Source organism: Homo sapiens, chromosome 6 (genome assembly GCF_000001405.40).
Source record: "Homo sapiens chromosome 6, GRCh38.p14 Primary Assembly".
NCBI classification, from domain to species: domain Eukaryota; kingdom Metazoa; phylum Chordata; class Mammalia; order Primates; family Hominidae; genus Homo; species Homo sapiens.
Window position 1 is genome coordinate 80,180,846 of NC_000006.12, and position 20,066 is coordinate 80,200,911.

The window sequence follows — 20,066 nt, forward strand, 5'->3', positions numbered from 1 at the left end:
ATATTTAATGCTAGGTACACTCACAAGAGTAAGTTGGATCCATTAGTGGGAGAAATTGAATTCATTTGTTAGATTTTTAAATTAGTTTCTAAATTGAAATAATACACATAATTTAAAAAGTCAAATGATAGCTTCTAATAAAAAATAGCAGTTCCTTACCTTACCCTTCACCAAATCCAAGCATCTTTCCCCACAGGCAACAACTTTCAACTCTTTTAGTTGAAAGAGTTGAACTCCAGACTTTAAGAAATGCATTTTATTTATAAATCATCCAGTCTTAGGTATTCTGTCCTAGCAAAACGAAGTGGACTAAGACAATTAGGTTTGCTAAATGTCAGCTGGATCCTTAACTACAGTGAGGTAGTTCTGATACCCTCTTGAGTTTATTTAATTTCTTCTTTTTAAATTAAAAATGTATACAACTGCTGAAAATCAGATAATTTTATTTTGTTGTACACAATATTATAATTAAGGCATTGGTTTACAATGGCTTACCTTATTTTCTTAAAAATATTTATTTTTCTCATTATAAAGGTAACACATACTCTGACTGTCAGCCATCGATGCTTAACAGGCCACTCCTGAAACTCAGTGGCTAAGTCAACAATGTTCTTTATATAGCTCATCTGCAGGTCAGCATTTAGGCCGGTCACAGCTCAGCAATTCTGGTCTTGTCTAGGCTTCCTCATAGGTCTATAGTCAGTTGTAGGTCAGGTGTGGGTTGGATTTGCTGATTTTAGTTGGGCTATTTCACCAGTTGTGGCTGATAGGCTTTGGTCTATCTGTCCCTTTATCACCCTGCGGGCTGGCTCAAGCTTGTTCACCTGGTGGAAGCAGAGGTTGTAAGGCCCTTGAAGCATAGGCTTGGAGTTGACATACTGTCACTTCTGCCATAGTATGTTGGCCAAAATAAGTCACAAAGTCAGCCCAAGTTGAAGAGGAGGACAAATAGACACCATCTCTTCATGGGAAAAGATGCCTACTCATATTGCAGAAGGGTGTGAATACAGGGAGATTTGGATTCTGTCTATTGCTTAATCTTTTATATATGTTTGTACTGAAAAGTACAAACAAAGATAAAAGGAACTCATAAGTCCATCCTCTAACTACTGTTGACTTTTTGTTTTATATACTGTAAGACTGTTTTATCTATACTTTTAAACGTATATTATTAATTTATTTCAGTTTCCATTTGATTACAAGTCATGTTTGTTTATTTCATATTTCTTCTATGAAGTGGTCAAGTAGATTTCTATTTTGTTCTTAAAATCGCATGGTAGCATTTCTTGTAAATCTACAGTTCCAGATATCTAAAGCCGGCAGGACTTCAGCTAATAGGCAATTATTCTATTTTGTGATGAGAAGGCCCTGACTTAGTATTGAGTAGCAGGAAGAATCAAAAGGTGTTCAGTCAACTGACAGTGCAATTGCCTTTGAATTTGTTTGTATATCTTCTGTGACTGAGTTAATAAACTGAACTATTCATGGAATAGGACCCAGTGGGATTTTCTTATGCTATGGTATATTTTTAATATTATTCACTTTTCAGGCTAAGTTTGACCGTAAGCAGATATCTATTTTTGATCATTAGCTTTAAGGTATTTACATTCTCAATGACTAAGCTTAAGCTATGTGGTAGAGTGATTTATTTTTGTTCCTGAATAAAATTTTAATACCATGAGTCATGTGTTTTCTTTGTAAAAAGTTCCAGCATCACAGAACTATATAGCATAATATAGTGAAAGTTCCCTTTTCCTACTGGCTCACTTTGAACTCCTTTCCTTAAGCCTTTTTCTGTGCTTTTATATTTACATACATATGTGAATATATAGAATACATTTACTTCCATGTAAACAGATTTTGTATGTGTAACATAAAAATATTGTATTATAAACATTGTTTTGTAACTTGCTTTGCAAATTATTTTCTATCCATTTAGTCAAGTATGTGAGTGTATAAAATGTACACACACAAATAATACAAATAAGAGCATGTTACAAATATTGTATAACTTGCTTTTTTTACCAATATATTTTTGATATATTTCTGTATCTATTCACATAGGCTTAGCTGGTTTTTATATTCATAAAACCGTATTCATTTTATAGTCATAAAATTTCTTCACATGTACCTTCACATGTATCCTTTCCCTATTATGGAACAACGAATTGTTTCTAAATTCTGGTTATTTTAAAAAATGTTGAAGAAAACATCTCTGCTTGTATATATATGTGTATGTAGAAGAAGAAAATTACGCTTGTGTTCTTTATTGTAAATATTCTACAACCTGTATCTCTTAATCCCTTTCTTGCTTTCTCTAAGCCCCATATATTCAATTTAGCCCTGAGTAATGCATGATTGACGAAGCCAGATGCTGTGTGTCTAAACAGCAGTTAATGAAAAACTATGGAAGGATAGGGAATCATTACCACAGGTACTGTGGGGCGGCAAGACTCAATAAAGTAACTGTTACTAAAATCTAAAAATGAAAACAGGAAATATTTGTCAGACATTTAACTTGGCAATTGTAAGAGTGAAAACCTTGTGTTTTTATTCACTTGTGTATCAGAATTTGCCGTTTTTTAATTAAGAGTTATTTTTTAAGAGCAATTTTAGATTCACAGCAAAATTGAGAGATAGACATGGAGATTTTCCACATACCCACTGACCTCAAACAAGCATAGCCTTCCCCATTGCCAACATCCCCATCAGAGTTGTACATTTTTTACAATTGATGACCTATGTTAACACATTGTCATCACTCAAAGTCCATGGTTTACATCAGTGTTCACTCTTAGTGTTGTACCTTCTGTGGGTTGTATGATGACATGTATCTACCACTATAATATCTTGCAGAGTATTTCCACTGTCCTAGAAATTTTCTGTGCTTCATCTGTTTGTCTCCCCTCACTTCAACCCCTGGCAAACACTGATAGCTTTATTGTATCCATAGTTTTATCTTTTCCAGAATGTCATATAATTGGAATTATGCAGTATGAAACCTTTTCAGATTGGCTTCCTTCACTTAGTACTATGTATTTAAGATTCCTCCATGTCTTTTCATGGCTTGATAACTCATTTCTATTTAATGCTGAATAATACTCCATTGTTTGGAAGTAACACAGTTTATTTATTCATTCACCTGCAGAAAGGTATCTTGGTTGCTTCTAAGTTTTGACAGTTATGAATAAAGTTGCTGTAAACATCCATGTGCAGGTTTTGGTGTGCAAATAAGTTTCAACTTATTCATCTGGTAGTAATTGTTTTATAAATTTGGGAGCTCCAGTGTTAGATGCATATTATTTAGGATTGTGATATTTTCCTGTTGGAGTAGTCCTTTTATCATTATGTAATATCCCCCTTTGACTTTTTAAATTGTTGTTGCTTTAAAGTCTGTTTTGTCTGAGAATACCTACTCCTGCTAGCTTTGGTTTCCATTTGCATGAAATATCTTTCTCCATCCCTTTACCTTAAGTTTATGTGAGTCCTTAGGTGTTAAGTGAGTCTCTTGAAGACAGACAGTAGATACTTGGTTGGTAGATTTTTATTTATTCTGTATCTCTTAAGTGGAGCGTTTAAGCCATATACATTTAACATTAGCATTGAGATGTGAGGTACTGTTTTATTCATCATGTTGTTGCCTGAATACCTTTTTTTTAAAGTTGTCTTTTTTTAATAGGCCTTGTGAGATTTATACTTTATAGGGAGGTTCTATTTTGGTATATTTCAAGGTTTTGTTTCAAGATTTAGAACTCCTTTTAGAAGTTCTTGTAGTGCTAGCTTGGTAGTGGAGAATTCTTTCAGCATTTGTTTATCTGAAAAAGACTTTATCTCTCCTCTATTTATGAAGGTTAGTTTTGCGGCATACAAAATTCTTGGCTGATAATTATTTTATTTAAGGAGGCTAAAGATAGGACCCTAATCCCTCTTGGCTTGTAGGGTTTCTGCTGAGAAATCTGCTGTTAATCTGAGAGGTTTTCCTTTATAGGTTACCTGATGCTTTTGCCTCACAACTCTGAAGATTCTTTCCTTTGTCTTGACTTTAGATAACTTGATGACCACGTGCCTAGGAGATGATCTTTTTGCAATAAATTTCCCAGGTGTTCTTTGAGCTTTTTGTATTTGAATGTCTAGATCTCTAGCAAGGACAGGGAAGTTTTTCTCTATTATCCCCTCTAATAAGTTTTCTGAACTTTCAGATTTTTCTTCTTCCTCAGGAACACCAATTATTCTTAGGTTTGGTCGTTTAACATAATCCCAAATTTCTTGGAGGCTTTGTTCATTTTTCTTTGTCTTTCGGTTAATTTGTAAGCCTTGTCTTTGAGCTCTGAAGTTCTTTCTTCTACTTGTTATAGTCTATTGTTGAAACTTTGCAGTGTATTTTTTATTTCTCTTAGTGTGTCTTTCATTTCCAGAACTTGTGACTGTTTTTTCTTTATGATATTTATTTCTCTGTATACCTTTTCATCCATATCCTGCACTGTTTTTTTTTAAATTTTCTTTAAGTTGTTTTTCTACCTTTTCTGGTACCTCCTTGAGTACCTTAATAATCAACCTTCTGAATTCCTTATCTGGCAATCAGGGATTTTTTTCTTCGTTTGAATCTATTGTTGGAGAGCGAGTGTGATCTTTTGGGGGTGTTACAGAACCTTGTTTTGCCATATTACCATAATTGCTTTTCTGGTTCCTTCTCATTTTGGTAGTGTTTCAGTGGAAAGAACTGGAACTCAAGGGCTGCTGTTCAGATTCTTTTGTCCTGTGGGCTGATCCCTTGATGTGATGTTCTCCCCTTCACCTGGAGATGGGACTTCCTGAGAGAGCTGGACTGCAGTTCTTGTTATTGTCTTTCTTGCTTTAGCCACTCAGCGGGGCTGCTGGGCTCTGGGCTGATGCTGGGGAATGTCTGCAAAGAGTCCTGTGAGGTGATATGTCTTCATATCTCCTAGCTGTGGATGCCAGCACCTGCTCCAGTATAGGTGGCAAGGGAGTTAAGTGTACTCTATGATAGTCCTTGGTTGTCGTTTTGTTTAGTGTGCTGGTTTTTTCGAATGCTGGTTATGCCAGCAGTGAAGTTGTTATGTGGACAGACTTAGAACCTCTGGTTAGTCAGGATGTTGTAGATGGTAGAATTAGCTGTTTTCTCCTTTTTTGGAGCAGGGTTATTCTGTTATGTCTTGAGTTGGTTGGCCTCTACCCAGGAGGTGGTGCTTTTAAAAGAGTGCCAGCTGTGGTAGTAGAAGGGGGATACAAGTTTGTTCTTTGTTGGCCAGGATGAGTACTTGGGTTCTTCAGGCAATGGATGGGGCTTTAGAGTTCTCAAGGGTTTATGTATTTTGGCTCAGGCTACCAGGGTGGGTAGTGAAAAACCATGAGGTGGGGGCAGGCCTAGGCAGGTCTGAGCTCAGACTCTCCTTGAGCAGGGCTTGCCGAGGCCACTGTGGGTGATGTTCCGGGGCATTACAGCTGCCTCTGCTGTGTCATACTGGTCGCCAGGGAAGGGGGGAAAGCCGGCAGTGACAGGCCTCACCTAGCTTCCACGCAGCCAGCAAGGCCAATCTCACTCCTGCCATGCCCCACCAACAGCACACGTTTATATTCAGGCAGCTGGGGAGAGCGGATAGATCTTGCCCCAGACTACAAGCCTTCCTGCTGAGAAAACAAGCAGGGCTCTCAGGCCTTGCCCTTTTCCGTCTGCCTGCACCATCAGCTGTGGCTTCTGTGCTTGTATCTGCAAGTTATATGTGCACTTCCCATTTGCCCCCTGGACTCTGCTCAGGAAAATTTGTACTCAGTTGAACGTATTATGAAGTTCAGCTAGAAGCTTCTTTCATCCTATGGCCCCTCCCTAATTCCACTGGCTGCCTTCCCCAAGGACCCCTGTGAGATAAGTCAGGGATGGCTTTCTCTGGTTTGAGCCGGGAACTGGGAGTGCCTACAGGGCGCTTCCCGCTCCTTCTTCTACTTTGATATTTCACTTGGCTGCCTAAATCCATTTTAACTTCAGATGAGATTAAATTCTTCTCCTGTGATCTGGATTTTTAGGTTCCCCAGTGGGGATGTCTGTTCAGAGGCAGACTTTTCCCCCACTCACACTTTGGGAACTTACAGTTTTTCAGCTGTCTCATGGAGTTTGCAGTGTCAAGCTACTTCTTTCAAAGTAAGTAGCCTGTGAATTCTTTTGGTTTTCCTGGTAGGTTCCTGTGGTGGTTCTTGGAGGAAAAGTTTACAGTGTGAGTCTCCACACACTGTTCTGTCTGTCCAAATGGGAGCTACATGTTAGTCCTGTCTTGTATCTACCATTTTCTCCATGTTGGTAATTTAGATCTTTGTATTTCCTCTAGCTTTTAAAATTTTAGTAGTATAAAATTTTCTTTGCAGTATCATTTGATTAAATGTGTTAATACATGTATTTGGAATCATGCCTGACACATAGTAAATGCTTAATACATTTTAATGGTGTTATTAAAAGTTGTTGCTATTATTATCATATAAAAATCTCCTATGATTTATTTTAATATTAACACTTAAACCTAAGCTTTTATTTAGAATGTTGGGGGCATGAGAACTAATTAGAAGAAGTATTCTAACTCAGTAGAGAGGGTAGGGGTAAGGGTCTGTAAAACATTAGCAAGTGGGGTCAGCTGATATTTAGCCAGTTTCAGAGTTAGTCTAAAACTACCAACAGAGTAAACAGGCAACCTATAGAAGGGGAGAAAATATTTGCAAACTATGCATCTAACAAAGGTCTAATATACAGAATCTGAGGAACTTGAACAAACTTACAACCCAAAAACAACCCCAAGCAAAAAAGTGGGCAAAGGACATGAACAGACACTTTTCAGAAGAAAGACAATCATGTAGCCAACAAGCATACGAGAAAATGCTCAACATCACCCATCATTAGAGAAATGCAAATCAAAACCACAGTGAGATACCATCTCACACCAGTCAGAATAGCTATTATTAAAAAGTCAGAAATTAAGAGATGCTGGTGAAGTTGTGGAGAAAAGGGAACATTTATACACTGCTGGTGGAAATGTCAACTGGTTTAGCCATTGTGGAAAGCAGTTTTGTGTTTTCTCAAAGAACTTAAAAAAGAATTACCATTCAACCCAGCAATCCCATTATTGAATATATGCCCAAAGGAATATGAGTCATTCTACCATAAAGACACATGCACGTTTATGTTCACTGCAGCACTATTCACAATAGCAAAGACGTAAAATCAACCTAAATGCCCATCAATGATAGACTGGGTAAAGAAAATGTAGTATATATACACCATGGAAAACTCTACAGGCATAAAAAAGAATGAGATATGTCCTTTGCAGGACATATCTGGAGGCCATTATCCATAGCAAAACATTATCCACTATAGCTGGAGGCCATTATCCTTAGCAAACTAACACATGAACACAAAACCAAATACCACATGTTCTCACTTATAAGTGGAAGGTAAACATTGAGTACACACAGAAAAGAGAACAACAGACACTGGGGATCTACCTGAGGGTGGAGGGTGGAAGGAGGGTGAGGATCAGAATAATACCTATCACTGAGGTTGGTGGATCGCTTGAGCCAAGGGTTTGAGACCAGCCTGGGCAACATGGTGAGACCCCCGTCTCTACAAAAAAAATACAAAATTTAGCCAGGTGTGGTGGTGTACTCCCATAGTGCCAGATTCTTGCGAGGTTGAGATGGGAAGATCACTCGAGCCTGGGAGGTGGAGGTTGCAAGTGAGCCGAGATTGCACCACTGCACTCCAGCCTGGGCGATAGGGTGACACCCTGTCTTAAAAAACCCTCCAAAACCCCAAAACCCAAAAAACAAACTACCAATCGCTTACTATGCTTATTACCTGGGTGATGAAATAATTTGTATACCAAGCCCCCCTGACATGCAATTTACCTATATGGCAAACCTGCACATGTACCCTTGAACATAAAATAAAAATAAAAATAAAAAAAGGTTTTCTGAAAAGAGAGGAATTGTTTTTGCAGTTTAGTAGCCATTGATGGGGTGGTTCAGATTTAGCAAGAGAGGTGGATAGAAACAGTTGCTGGGTCTGTGGTCATATGAGGGCCACTGTGGTACATTTTTAGTCTTTCTGAGACTCTTACAGATTATTTAGAATTATTTACAACATATTCTAACATATTTGGGAGTGTATTTTATCATTTTAAATCAAGCCATAATCTTCCACTTTTTGACTACAGGCCATTCCTAATGTGTTTCTCAGAATGTGTGCAAAGTCAAATATCTGGAAGTCAAATATTTACTTACATTTAATAAATAGATTTCTTTACCAAGAGAGCTAAAATAAAATTCTATTTAAACTTCACCTTTTATACACGGTTGTCAGTAATATAGTTTCCAACATTTTATATATACCTTTAATTTTTTTCTTTTTGAATTGATCAGTTCAAGTGACTTAAATGCACTGAGCATCCAGCTGAGGTTAAAAATTTACTGTGTGCAACATAGCAAATAATTTCTCACTTGACCCTTACTTATTCTCTTTGGTGATAAGAGTGTTTTCACTTTTCTGTTTTTTACTTATAAAGTATTAAGGGCAAATAAGAATTCTAATAATATAGAAACATTGCTATACAGGCAGTGACATTAACAATGCCCAAACTGAACACTTGACTAGCAGAAAGGGTGTTGAGCTTCCATTCTTACAGCTAGCTTATCTTCAGAATTTCAAATTTAGAATAAAAGGCATATAATAAGCCCTTTAGGAGTTTTCATCTACACTATATATATAACTGTGTGTTGAGCATAAGTTGAAAATATGAAAATTTAGGTCTGCCCATACTTAGAGGCAGATAGGTAGAAAACACTAAACTCTTAAGGCCATTAGGTATTTAGTAATTTTTATGTACAGTTACTTTTTAAAGCTAGAAATAAAGTTGTAGGCTTATAAAAATTACAGTTGAGAAAATTTTCTCAGTAATATATATTTTAGAACATTTATTAATTTTATTAATACCCTTTCAGCATCTCTCAGTGTTGAACTTGAATTTATGAATTCTAGCTAATTTATATATCTTTAGCACTGAATATAGCTAGGGTATGAAGTGATTAATATTGGACTACAAATAATAGTTTCTGGCTATGTAAATAAACTTGGAGTTCTTCATTTTTTGTAGTATTAATGCATGATTTAATATGAAGGAATTTATGTTCAAGAAAAATACAGATTTCTAATGGAGGAGTGATATATAGTAATGCACTGAGGCAGATGGTGGATGATAAGTATGTATAGATCACACCTGCTTTATGGAATGTAAAGCTTGATTCGTGTGTAAAAAATTAATTTGAGAAAATGGTAGGGAATGGCTGGGAGTCTGTGAGAGAATTCTAGATTTAACACTTTGATTAGTCTCAGGAAAAACAGCCATTATATAATCTTAGGTTATATTTTCTATTTTTAAACAAATATGGCAAGCATAACACCTCCCTTTTTAAAATACACAGTTTTTGCAATTTTTCAAGACTTAGGGAAAGGATCAAGCTTGATATATGTTTATATTTAATACTTCTGAAACCCATTTTGGGCAGATTTCTATCTACTATAACAGTGGTTATGAGCTTGGACCGCTGAGTGGCCACACTATCTATAACCGAGTTCTTTAATATGTCTTTGCCTGTTTTCTCATCTGTAGCATTGGGATAAATCTAGTAGCAGTCACATTGAGTTGTAAGGATAAAAGGTGATACTTTAAAGGTGCTTAAACGTGCCTAATATGTTGAAAGGGCTCACTAAATATTAGCTTTTCTCATTATTGTTAATATATTGGAGTTTTATTTCATAAAAGGTGACCTTTTCATCTAAGTGCTATTTATAATTTAAATCTCTGTTAGGTCTTTGTTAGTTGTCTGTCATCCTCACACTTGCCCTTCTGTGTTTTCTTCTGTAATTCATGGGTTGGAAGCAAGTAAACTGTATTTTCCTCACCCCTTTGCTAGCTGAGTTTCATTAGAGGGTGGGAGGAAGGTAGAAAGGACGCCACTGAGGTTTTTGAGGCACCTTTGGTAGTGGCAGTTGAGGAGACTTCGCTGTGTTGCAGTGACCGTTGTTCCACAGTGTAGATGGCAGCGATGTTGGTGGCAGGGCATTTAATAGGGATGGGTCTGCTCAGCAGCAGCCAATGGTGGTTCCAGCACTGATAGTGGCTCCTGTGGGCTGTTGGGTCCAGCTCAGAGATGGTAGCAGCTTCCTGATCCCTGGTTTGCATTGTTTAACCATTTGTTACTCTAGCCCTTCCAAAGTCTTTGTAACAGATTCCCTGAATTAAATTAAATTTTTCTGGAGAGGTTGCCCTCGAGAAGAGGGTGCTCATCAATAAAATCAACAGTTGTCATTTAATGTTAGATATGCAATAAGGAATTTTGCAGTCTAATAAATATAGCATGTATTCCCCGTATATCTTTCTTACCTGAAAATAATTGTGTTTTGTCAGTGTGTCCCAGTGACTTTTTCTGTCTCCTCTGCATTTAGGAAGTCAGTGGACACAGCTAGTGCTTGGTGTCTAGGGGGAATTGTTGCTCCTCATGGGTAATATTGGATTTATGAAAACTGAGGGACTTACATTACCAAAAGCATGATGTGAAAAATATATTAAATATATACTAATATTTCAATGATTTAAAGTCATCTACCCAATAGAAGCCACTATATTTCATTGATTCTAAGCTACCCCTTCCCCCCCTCATGTTTTAATATCTCTGGTATTGGATTGTGACTTAAAAACAGTAGCATGTTGCAGTCATCTCATCCAGTGGCCAGTAGTTGCTGTTATCTGCTTATGTGCCAATATAAAAATCATAATACAGCTTAGAATAAAATTCCAGAGACACCAGAGAAGGTGTCTCTTTTGACAAGTTGAAGACTCTTTTGACAAGGAGATGCTAAATGGTTGTGGTGAGGTAGAAGGGTGGGGAAGTGGGAAATCACAGTAGTTTAACAACCCTTGGAAGCAGGAGTCTAAAGTAGGCTGTGCCTAATTACTGAGCTAGCTTGAGAGCTTAGCATCAATCTTTCAATTTTTTAATGAATTCATTTAAAAAAGTGCTGCATCACTGATGTGCTTGGTGACACAGAAAATGAGATTCTCTGGAGAAATGTGGACACTGATATATGTCAAAGAGTGAGGGAGAAGAATTACATTTGGATTTCTTCATGAATTTTAGGAATTGATTAAACCAACTTATTTTGCTTATGTTTTGTTTTTATGTCTGTGTCAGTGTGATAGATAATAAAAACCCATATCTAATTAAGTCTTTTTTCTTTCAATAAGAATAAAATAAAAGTTCTAAAAAGTGTATCAGTTTAATTAGCAGTTTTTTTTCTAATGGTTCATACAATAATGATGCCCTTTATTGAAATATTTTTTTCTATCTCTGTATAATTCTTTTTGTTAGGTAATATTTTTTCCCTTTTAAACTCTATGTGCTGATGTAGAATGGCTTTAAAATATCGCCCTTTTATTCAGTGTTCAATTTTTTTTTTGCGCCAGTTTTCCAATTTACCTTGTAAAATTGACACCCTATGAACAAAGTTTATTCTATATGTGTAGCTCCTTGCTATAGAAAATGCATTGGAAAATATTTACCAAAGGAATTCAAATATATTAAACATGAAAGACAAACAATTGCCAGTAAAACTGGTGATAGGAGAACTTTTGCTACACTATTAAATGCTGCATACCAGAGAGTACAGTATACAAACAAACAAAAAACCCTAAGGGTAATTGCAAAGATTGAACAAGTTGTGTTATAAATGTGGCCAAATTTTAATGTGTTGTGTGTTAAATATACTGATGCATATTATGGAATATCAGTCTCATCAAAGCTTCTTTTTTTGTTTACATTAAATGAGACAGGGAAATGTAATGAAGTTAATTTGGAAATTTTATAAGAAATATGAAGGTGCCTTATCATATCATTACTTTTGTGATTTATATTTGCCAACTTTTTTTTTTTTTTGAAATGGAGTCTTGCTCTGTTGCCCAGGCTGGAGTGCAGTGGTGTGATCTCAGCTCACTGCAACCTCCATCTCCCAGGTTCAAGTGATTCTTATGCCTCAGTCTCCCGAGTAGCTGGGATTACAGGCACGTGCCACCATGCCTGGCTAATTTTTTTCTATTTTTAGTAGATATTGGATTTCACCATATTGCCCAGGCTGGTCTCGAACTCCTGACCCCAAGGTGATCTGCCCATCTCGGTCTCCAAAAGTGCTGGGATTACAGACATGACCCACTGCACCCAGCAAATATTTGGCAACTATTTTGAAAAGATTCCTAATTTATCTCATTATGCAAAAGAACTGGAAATGTGAGACTTACCAGTTAATTAATTATTGAAGAAAAAAATTAGACTGCATTTGAGTTTAAGTGGGTCCAAGACTTTCTGTTTCAAGTTAATATTGCTGTTCATTTAAAAATAACAGGTGATTTTTTTTTAATTTTCAGTGTTACTCAGTGATAATAAGAAAACATTATCCTCTGAAACAATAACAGTATAAAACATTTACGACCTTAAAATCATGTTTTATATGTACAAGTATCTCAGTTTAAGAAGTCTCCTGGCCAGGCGTGATGGCTCACGCCTGTAATCCCAGCACTTTGGGAGGCCGAGGCTGACGAATCACCTGAGGTCAGGAGTTCAAGGCCAGCCTGGCCAACATGGCAAAACCCTGTATCTACTAAAAAATAAAAAAACTAGCTGGGTGTGGTGGCGGGCACCTGTAATCCCAGCTACTCAGGAGGCTGAGACAGGAGAATTGCATGAACCCAGGAGGTGGAGATTGCAGTGAGCCGGGACTGTGCCACTGCACTCTAGCCTGGGCAACAGAGCGAGACTCTGTCTCAAAAAAAAAAAAAAAAAAAGTCTCCTGGTTACATGAAAGATATTAGCTGATTATGACTTGATATATTTAGACTGTTGATTGGTCATTGGTTTTCATTTAGTGGTCAAGAGTGTCTAGCAAAATGCTGACTGGCATATGCAGACACTGAATTTACATCTTCACATATTCATGTCTCTCAATATTCAGAACTCAGTTAAATTTATCCAGGAAGATAAGGAGGTCATAAATAGAATACCAAATGTGGTTTTGCTTCTTTTACAGTTAGAGAGCTTTGTTAATATCCTCATTTTCTTCATTTGTACTAGCATTTCCAAACAGAATTTGTTTCACAAGGAAGTATCAATGTATAGTGTCTCTGTCAGGCCTTGCATTAAGCCCAGTTTCTCATAGTCGGTTTTCAATGACATTTCTAATTTGGTATACTTTCTGTTATATCACAACTTATTTTCCCAGCCATCTAAGGGAGACTTGTTAAGGTGGGTCAACCTCATTTTTGTTTTTGATTTTAATATTAAAAATTTTGTTAAAATTTTTATTTCGAAATAGTTCAAACAAAAAGATTGCAAAAATAGTATGAAGAATTCATATGTACCTTTCACTCAGCATTCCCCCATGTTAACCTCATACATAACCACGGTAATATTGATCAATACCAGGACATTAGCATGGATACAATACTATTAACTGCTCTGTTCACTTAATTCCAATTTCGTTAATTGCCCCACTAATGTCCTTTCTTTGGACTGAGATTCTATCCAGAGTCTATTTATCGTTCTTTCTCCTTAGTTTCCTTTATTCTGGGGAAGACAGTTCCTTTGTCTTTTTTGTCTGTCATGGTCGCCACATTTGGTCAGCTCTTTTGTAGACTGCTCCTCAAATTGGATTTGTCTGATGTTTCCTCATGATTAAACTCAAGTTATGTCTTTTTGGCAAGAATATTATAGAAGTGATACAAGTGACAGAGTGTCCATTTCAGTGCATCATATGAGATGATGTTTACTTGTTTTTACTCTTCTGTTATGAATATGTACCCCACTGCTAAGAATGCCAGCTTTTAGCCTTTGTGCAGCTAATTATATTTATTTTTCAAGATTTGCCTTTTTAAAATGGTTTTCTTTATTTGCTGCACTTCATTTGATCTCTCACTTCTTTGCCTTCCTTTTGCCATAATACTCAGTAAAACCTTGTCATGCTTATGGCTTGAAAGTCTATATTGTGTTGTGGGAGCCTCACCCACTGTTGCTCCCAGGAGTCCTCTCTGGTTTATTCCCTTGGGACACTGAGACTTATTATACCAATTTATTTTGTCCAAACATGCTCTCAATAATCACTGTGGGTTAAGTACTACCAAAGGTTGGCACTTAATTATTATTTTATTTATTGAAAGTTAATTTTATCTTCTAATTAGATGGTATCTTCTTGCCAGCGTGGACAATTCTACAGATTTTTTTTTTGATTACTTGGAGACAGAAACAAATATTTTTAATAGTATCTTGATTTAGTCTTTCTAATATAGACTGTTAATCTTTAGATTTTTCGATAATTTAAGGTGAAGGGGGAGGAAAAGATTGGGTACAACTGTGTTTAGGGAATAATTTAAAAGTGATTACTAGAAGAAAGTGCACTTAGTTTTCTTGTTCATATATTCTTTCTTATCTCTAGCATCAGTGCTAAAAGTAACAGTTGGTATAGAAGTGAAAATTGTCAAAAAAAGACTGATTAATAACCTCAAAGCTGAAAGGAGATTACTAATTCAGAAAATGACAGTTGTAATATAGAAATCCAATATTAGTTTATAGTTGATTATCAGTTTTATACAGAAAATAATAGTGAAAAGAATAACTCTTTTTTTAGCCTTAATGACTCTGTCATTGAATTACTTCAAATTGTGATGATATTTTCTTCCTAAGAGCTGATTAATTTAATGTGTTCACACTTTGTTCCAATAATGGTCCTAAGATTACAGGTGGAATACTGGGACACAAAAATAACACAATATTTTGTCAGAGATGACCAAACTCATTAGATACAGAGACAAAGCCAGAATTGGGTTTCTGGTTGGGTAGATTTACGCCCCTCCTACCTTTCCCCATTAGACTGAATTTTAACAAACCAGACAGGCTTTCTCAGGTATGGAGACTTCAAATATGCTGCTGTAATCAGACAGCATGAGCTAACATATTTTAGGAATATACTTGACTTCATTTTAAATAGAGAACATTTATGTTTTCTCACTATTTCATGTGTAATGCAATATGAATAAAGCCCTATCCGAGTTTCATGTTTGTGGGGAAACTAGCATTACTGCAGATTAGTGACAGGGCAGAGAAATGACCTTATTATCTCTGTAATGGTAATAGTGTGCTTCACAGGGAAACTTGTGTTGTTAAGAGTGAGTTGTTATTTTGTTGCAGATGCTTTCTGCACAAGTTATTAATATATTGAATCAGAAGGATTGGAAAGTGCTATCTAGGGACTTAGGAATATAATTTATAAGTTTCAGTATTCACCTTTACTTGAAATATGTAAATCTGATTTTGTAGATGTATACACAAGCATAAACATGGTTTCACGCTTGTGTATACCTTTTCTTTCTTTATGGAATATACTCTCTATTTTTCTTGTGTCAAGTACCTCTGTCTCTAAGACCCACAGCAGTTGTATCCTCCGTGATGAAACCTATCCCTGTAACCGAGTTGTTGCTTCCCTTTAGATTCCCAGAGCAATTTGTTCCCATTGCTATATTATGATTTTATTTGTTGGCTTATAAATCTATTTCCATCTTTGTAACTCACAGTTGAGCGTGTGCTTCTCAATGGCAATTCAGTTTTTCAATTCATATTCCAGCATCTTGCATGATGCCTGCATATATTGAGTATGCAGCAACTATTCAATGAAAAATGTATATTAAACTTGGTATATATATATATTATTTACACACCTCACCTCTTCCAAAAATGTGTTTAAGATGGATTATAAGCTATATAGCAAATTAGAAGAAAACTGGGAGAAAAAAGGAGGAGGATGGGAAATAGAATGGGGCCAAGGATGAGCAAATTCACAGCATGAATCTCTAAGTGAATGTGTAGTATGAATGAGTGCTTTTGCATGTACACGGAAGTGTATATGTGGAAACTTACAATATACATTAAAAAAATCTATCCTGTTTGATATTTGCATTTTTACAATTTTGGCCTTGAAAAGATTTCTTATTTTTCTGAGTTGTTCATTTTGTCACTATTTATCTGATGCTGAAGTGTTTCTCTGAGGAATGCTTATTAGTCCTAAGATTCTAATGTAATCAGCGTGTGGTGAAATAGAGCGGTGTCAGTTAGTCCCACTTCTGTGAAAATAGGAATCTGTAATATGACTCTGTGTGGTGCTCTTTAGCTTCTGAAGATTCGTGCTCTAACTCCTGTCACCTGCTCTCTTCTAGAAAGCACATAGCCGTGGGGTAGGAATGCAACAAAGCTAACTTGGAATAATAACCTTTTCCTGGAATAAATATGTTTTAAATTAAATTTAACTAAGAAGTATCTATGAATTCTAGCTTCTCTCAGGTGACTTGTTTGCCAAATTTAAATAAATGGACATATTAAAATTAATTCTTATTCTCCTGTTCTCAGGATAATGTTTAAGCAAATCTAAGAGGAGGTTTTTTTTTCTTATTGTAAGTATGGTGTTTTTAAAATAGAGAATAAAACTTTGTTTGCTTTGTTATTCCTTAGTTAATTGTTAAAATAATGAGGCCTTATTATTTGGGGTAATTTATTTAAGACAATAGAGCAATTAATTGCTCATTGGCAACCTGACAAAGGAAATGGGCCAAGATGCCAACCCATTTCTTGTGGTCTGCCAGCCCTTAGAATTGTGTGTTCCAGGGATTTGCTAATCACCAGCTGGTAACTGATTTACAAGGCTGGAAAGACAGGAGGACTCTTGAATCATGGCCACTTACAAGTAAGATGGAATGTGTACTGGCTTTAAGCCTTGTCTACTGGCATTCAGATGTTGCTGCCAGGGGAAAGACTTGATGATGGCAAAGAGCCTGTGTGCTATCTTTGGTGCATTTTTCCGATGTCATCAGCATTGTTCTTGACCCTCACTTTGGTTTAACAATTAAGACCTGCTAAGTAGAATATACTACTTCAGTGATATGTGTGTGCCTCTCTGTCTATTTGTCCACCCGCCCGTCCATTGATCTATCCATCTGTTCATCCATCCATCCATCCATCCATCCATCCATCCATCCATCCATCCGTCTATGCATCTATCCATGCAATGAATACTGGGGTTAAGCCATCAATGAATGGGCTAGAATTAACCTCTGAAAGCATTGTTTACAATTGGGGCTGGCAATCTTTTTCTGTAAACGAACAGATGGTAAATATTTTAGGTTTGCAGACCATACTGTCTTTGTTGGAACTAGTCAGTTCTGCTGTTGTAGGGTAGAAACAGCCGTAGACACTGTGTAAATCAATGGCATGGTTGTGAGCCAACGAAATGCTGTTTACAAAAAAATCAACTTGCAGCTATAGTTAGCCCACCCCTCATTTAGACAGTGGAAGTATCCGACTCAACATAGTTTGGGAGCTACACAAAAACTTTTAAAGAAGTGTATGAATGCTTATAAGTTTTCTAACACTGCTTTATGTTCCAGGTTTGTTAGCTTAATTATTGTCTATTTTGGGATTTATCTAAAAAAGTAGTTTTATAGATTTTACTGTTTTTTATTTAAACATATTAATCATTTAAATGATATTAAGCTCTCACTGACACTGATTATATAAATGTCATTGGATTGGAAATCTACAAAAAAACAAGGAATAAAATTCACCACTCTATCACCCATAAAGCACCCATTACATTTAATAGTTTTTACTTATAAACATGATTTTAAAAACTACTTTGACATGGAAATATGGTCAAGTATATTGATGAGTGAAAAAAATGCAGATTGTAGAAGAGTTCTGAACAGTGTGTACAATGTGATTCTATTTGTGAAAAGAAAAAATATTATATATGCGTACACTAACATACGGTAAATATCTGAATAGATATGGAATCAGTTCTTAGTTTTCAAGCAAATGAAATCAACTCTCCAATATAAGCGGAAGAAATTTATTGAAGGATAATAAATTACTCACAGATTTCTGGAGTCCTTGAGAATCAGGTTTAGAGGCCATATATCTAGAAGCAATACCCCAAATAACTGGTTCTGCAAAGAGGCCCTGGCAACTGTCAGTCTGAATCCTTGATACTACTAAGCCTAGATGCCGGATTTGCCTCCACTGTTAGCAGTATTCCAGAATGAATTCTAGACAGTTACTGCTCTTCTGTGTCATCAGCTTCCAATTCAGAGTCTGCTGTGGGTGCATTGGATTGCCAGAGCCCAAGTTTTGTGCCCTGGCTGCAGAGGAACCTTAGCGGGGAAGAATGTGGAACTCACTTCTGTAGTGGACAAAGGGCCCTGCCTCCTAAGGTAGGGGATTTACCAAATGTAGGAAGAGGATTCAGAATCTTGGATGCCAGAAAGAGTGAGAGCCGTCCACAGCAGACTCCTGGGAAATTGTTAACATTGGTTACTTCTGGACGGTGGAGTTGGAAGGGCTAACTGGGAGCCTTCCAGAGGGAGGCTTTTACTTTAATTTTATTCTTCTGTCCTTTTTGAATATACATATATAATAAAAAAGTCCATGGGGAAAATGAACAAAAGGGAACAACAGTTTTTTCCAGCATTTCCACTGATAGTATTTTCGCATAAGAACTCAAGAATGGCTAGGCGCGATGGCTCACGCCTGTAATCCCAGCACTTTGGGAGCCTCGGGGGGCAGATCACCTGAGGTTAGGAGTTCAAGATCAGCCTGGACAACATGTTGAAACCCTGTTTCTATTAAAATTACAAAAATTAGCAGAGCGTGGTGGTGCGTGCCTGTAATCCCAGCTACTTGAGAGTCTGAAAATCACTTGAACCCAGGAGGCAGAGGTTGCAGTGAGCTATAAGATTGTGCCACTCCACTCCAGCCTGGGCGACAGAGTGAGACTCTGTCTCAAAAAAAAAAAAAAAAAAAAAAAAAAGGCCGGGCACATGCCTGTAATCCCAGCATTTTGGGAGGCCAAGGTGGGTGGATCATTTGAGGTCAGGAGTTCAAGACCAGCCTGGCCAACATGGTGAAACCCCATCTCTACTAAAAATACAAAATTTAGCCTGGCAGTAGTGGTGTGCACCTGTAATCCCAGCTACTTGGGAGGCTGAGGCAGGAGAATCACTTGAGCCTGGGAGGCAGAGGTTGCAGATCACACCACTGCACTCCAGCCTGGGTGACAGAGTGAGACCCTGTCTCAAAAAAAAAAAAAAAAAAAAAAAAAAGAACTAAAGAAGGCTTCTCAGCATAACTGGGCAGTTTTATCAACTTCGTACTCAATTTTATTTTGAAATTCAGTTTATAATTTTCTCCCAGATTCAGTCATCTCTATATAACTTGGTTGGGCAGAGAAGTTCATAAAATGGTTTTCTCTCAGATACCAGTGGCTTCCTTTTGGCTTGGTAGAGCTGATTTAGTTTATCTTTTTGAGGTCTACAGTATTCAGCTTTGAAAAGTAAGGTGTTGTCAGTGACTCTGATTGATGAAGTGTTCATAGATCTAAGGTGAAAAAATACAATCTACTTTAAAATTTTTGGCCCTACTATTTTTTCCAAACCCCCATAAATTTGCTACTTTCTAGAAAATTGATCTGAGAACTTAATTCAGTTTAATAAAGTTTTATCACATGTAATAACAATTTTTAAGAACAATTTTAGATTTACAGAAAAAGTATGAACATAGTACAAAGTTCTTAGATACCACACACAGGGTTTGCCTTATTAACATCTTACATACATGTAGGATACAATTATTATAGTTAATAAACCAATATTGATACATTCTTATTGACTAATGTTCCTTCTTTATTACGATTTCTTTAGTTTCTAAAGTTTATTTTTTTGTTCCAAGATAGCTGATATGTTTTATACATTTATATTGCATTTATTCATCTGTGCAGTAATGTCATGGAGCCATATCATAAATGCTATTTCTGTTTTAAGTAATACAGAATTTAGAGAAACAAAAAATAAAATAAAGCTTTGCTACAGTGAGCTTCTTAAATTATTTTATGCACAAGTGTCACCTCAGAAAAAATGTCCTTTTTT

The 20,066-nt window shown here is 36.4% G+C and overlaps 1 protein-coding gene across 27 annotated transcripts in view; it reads left to right on the forward strand.

Moving 5' to 3' along the window:
- The window catches only part of BCKDHB (branched chain keto acid dehydrogenase E1 subunit beta), a 360,067-nt gene that overhangs the window by 74,236 nt on the left and 265,765 nt on the right, over positions 1–20,066 (forward strand). The gene's annotated exons all lie outside the window — the stretch shown is intronic.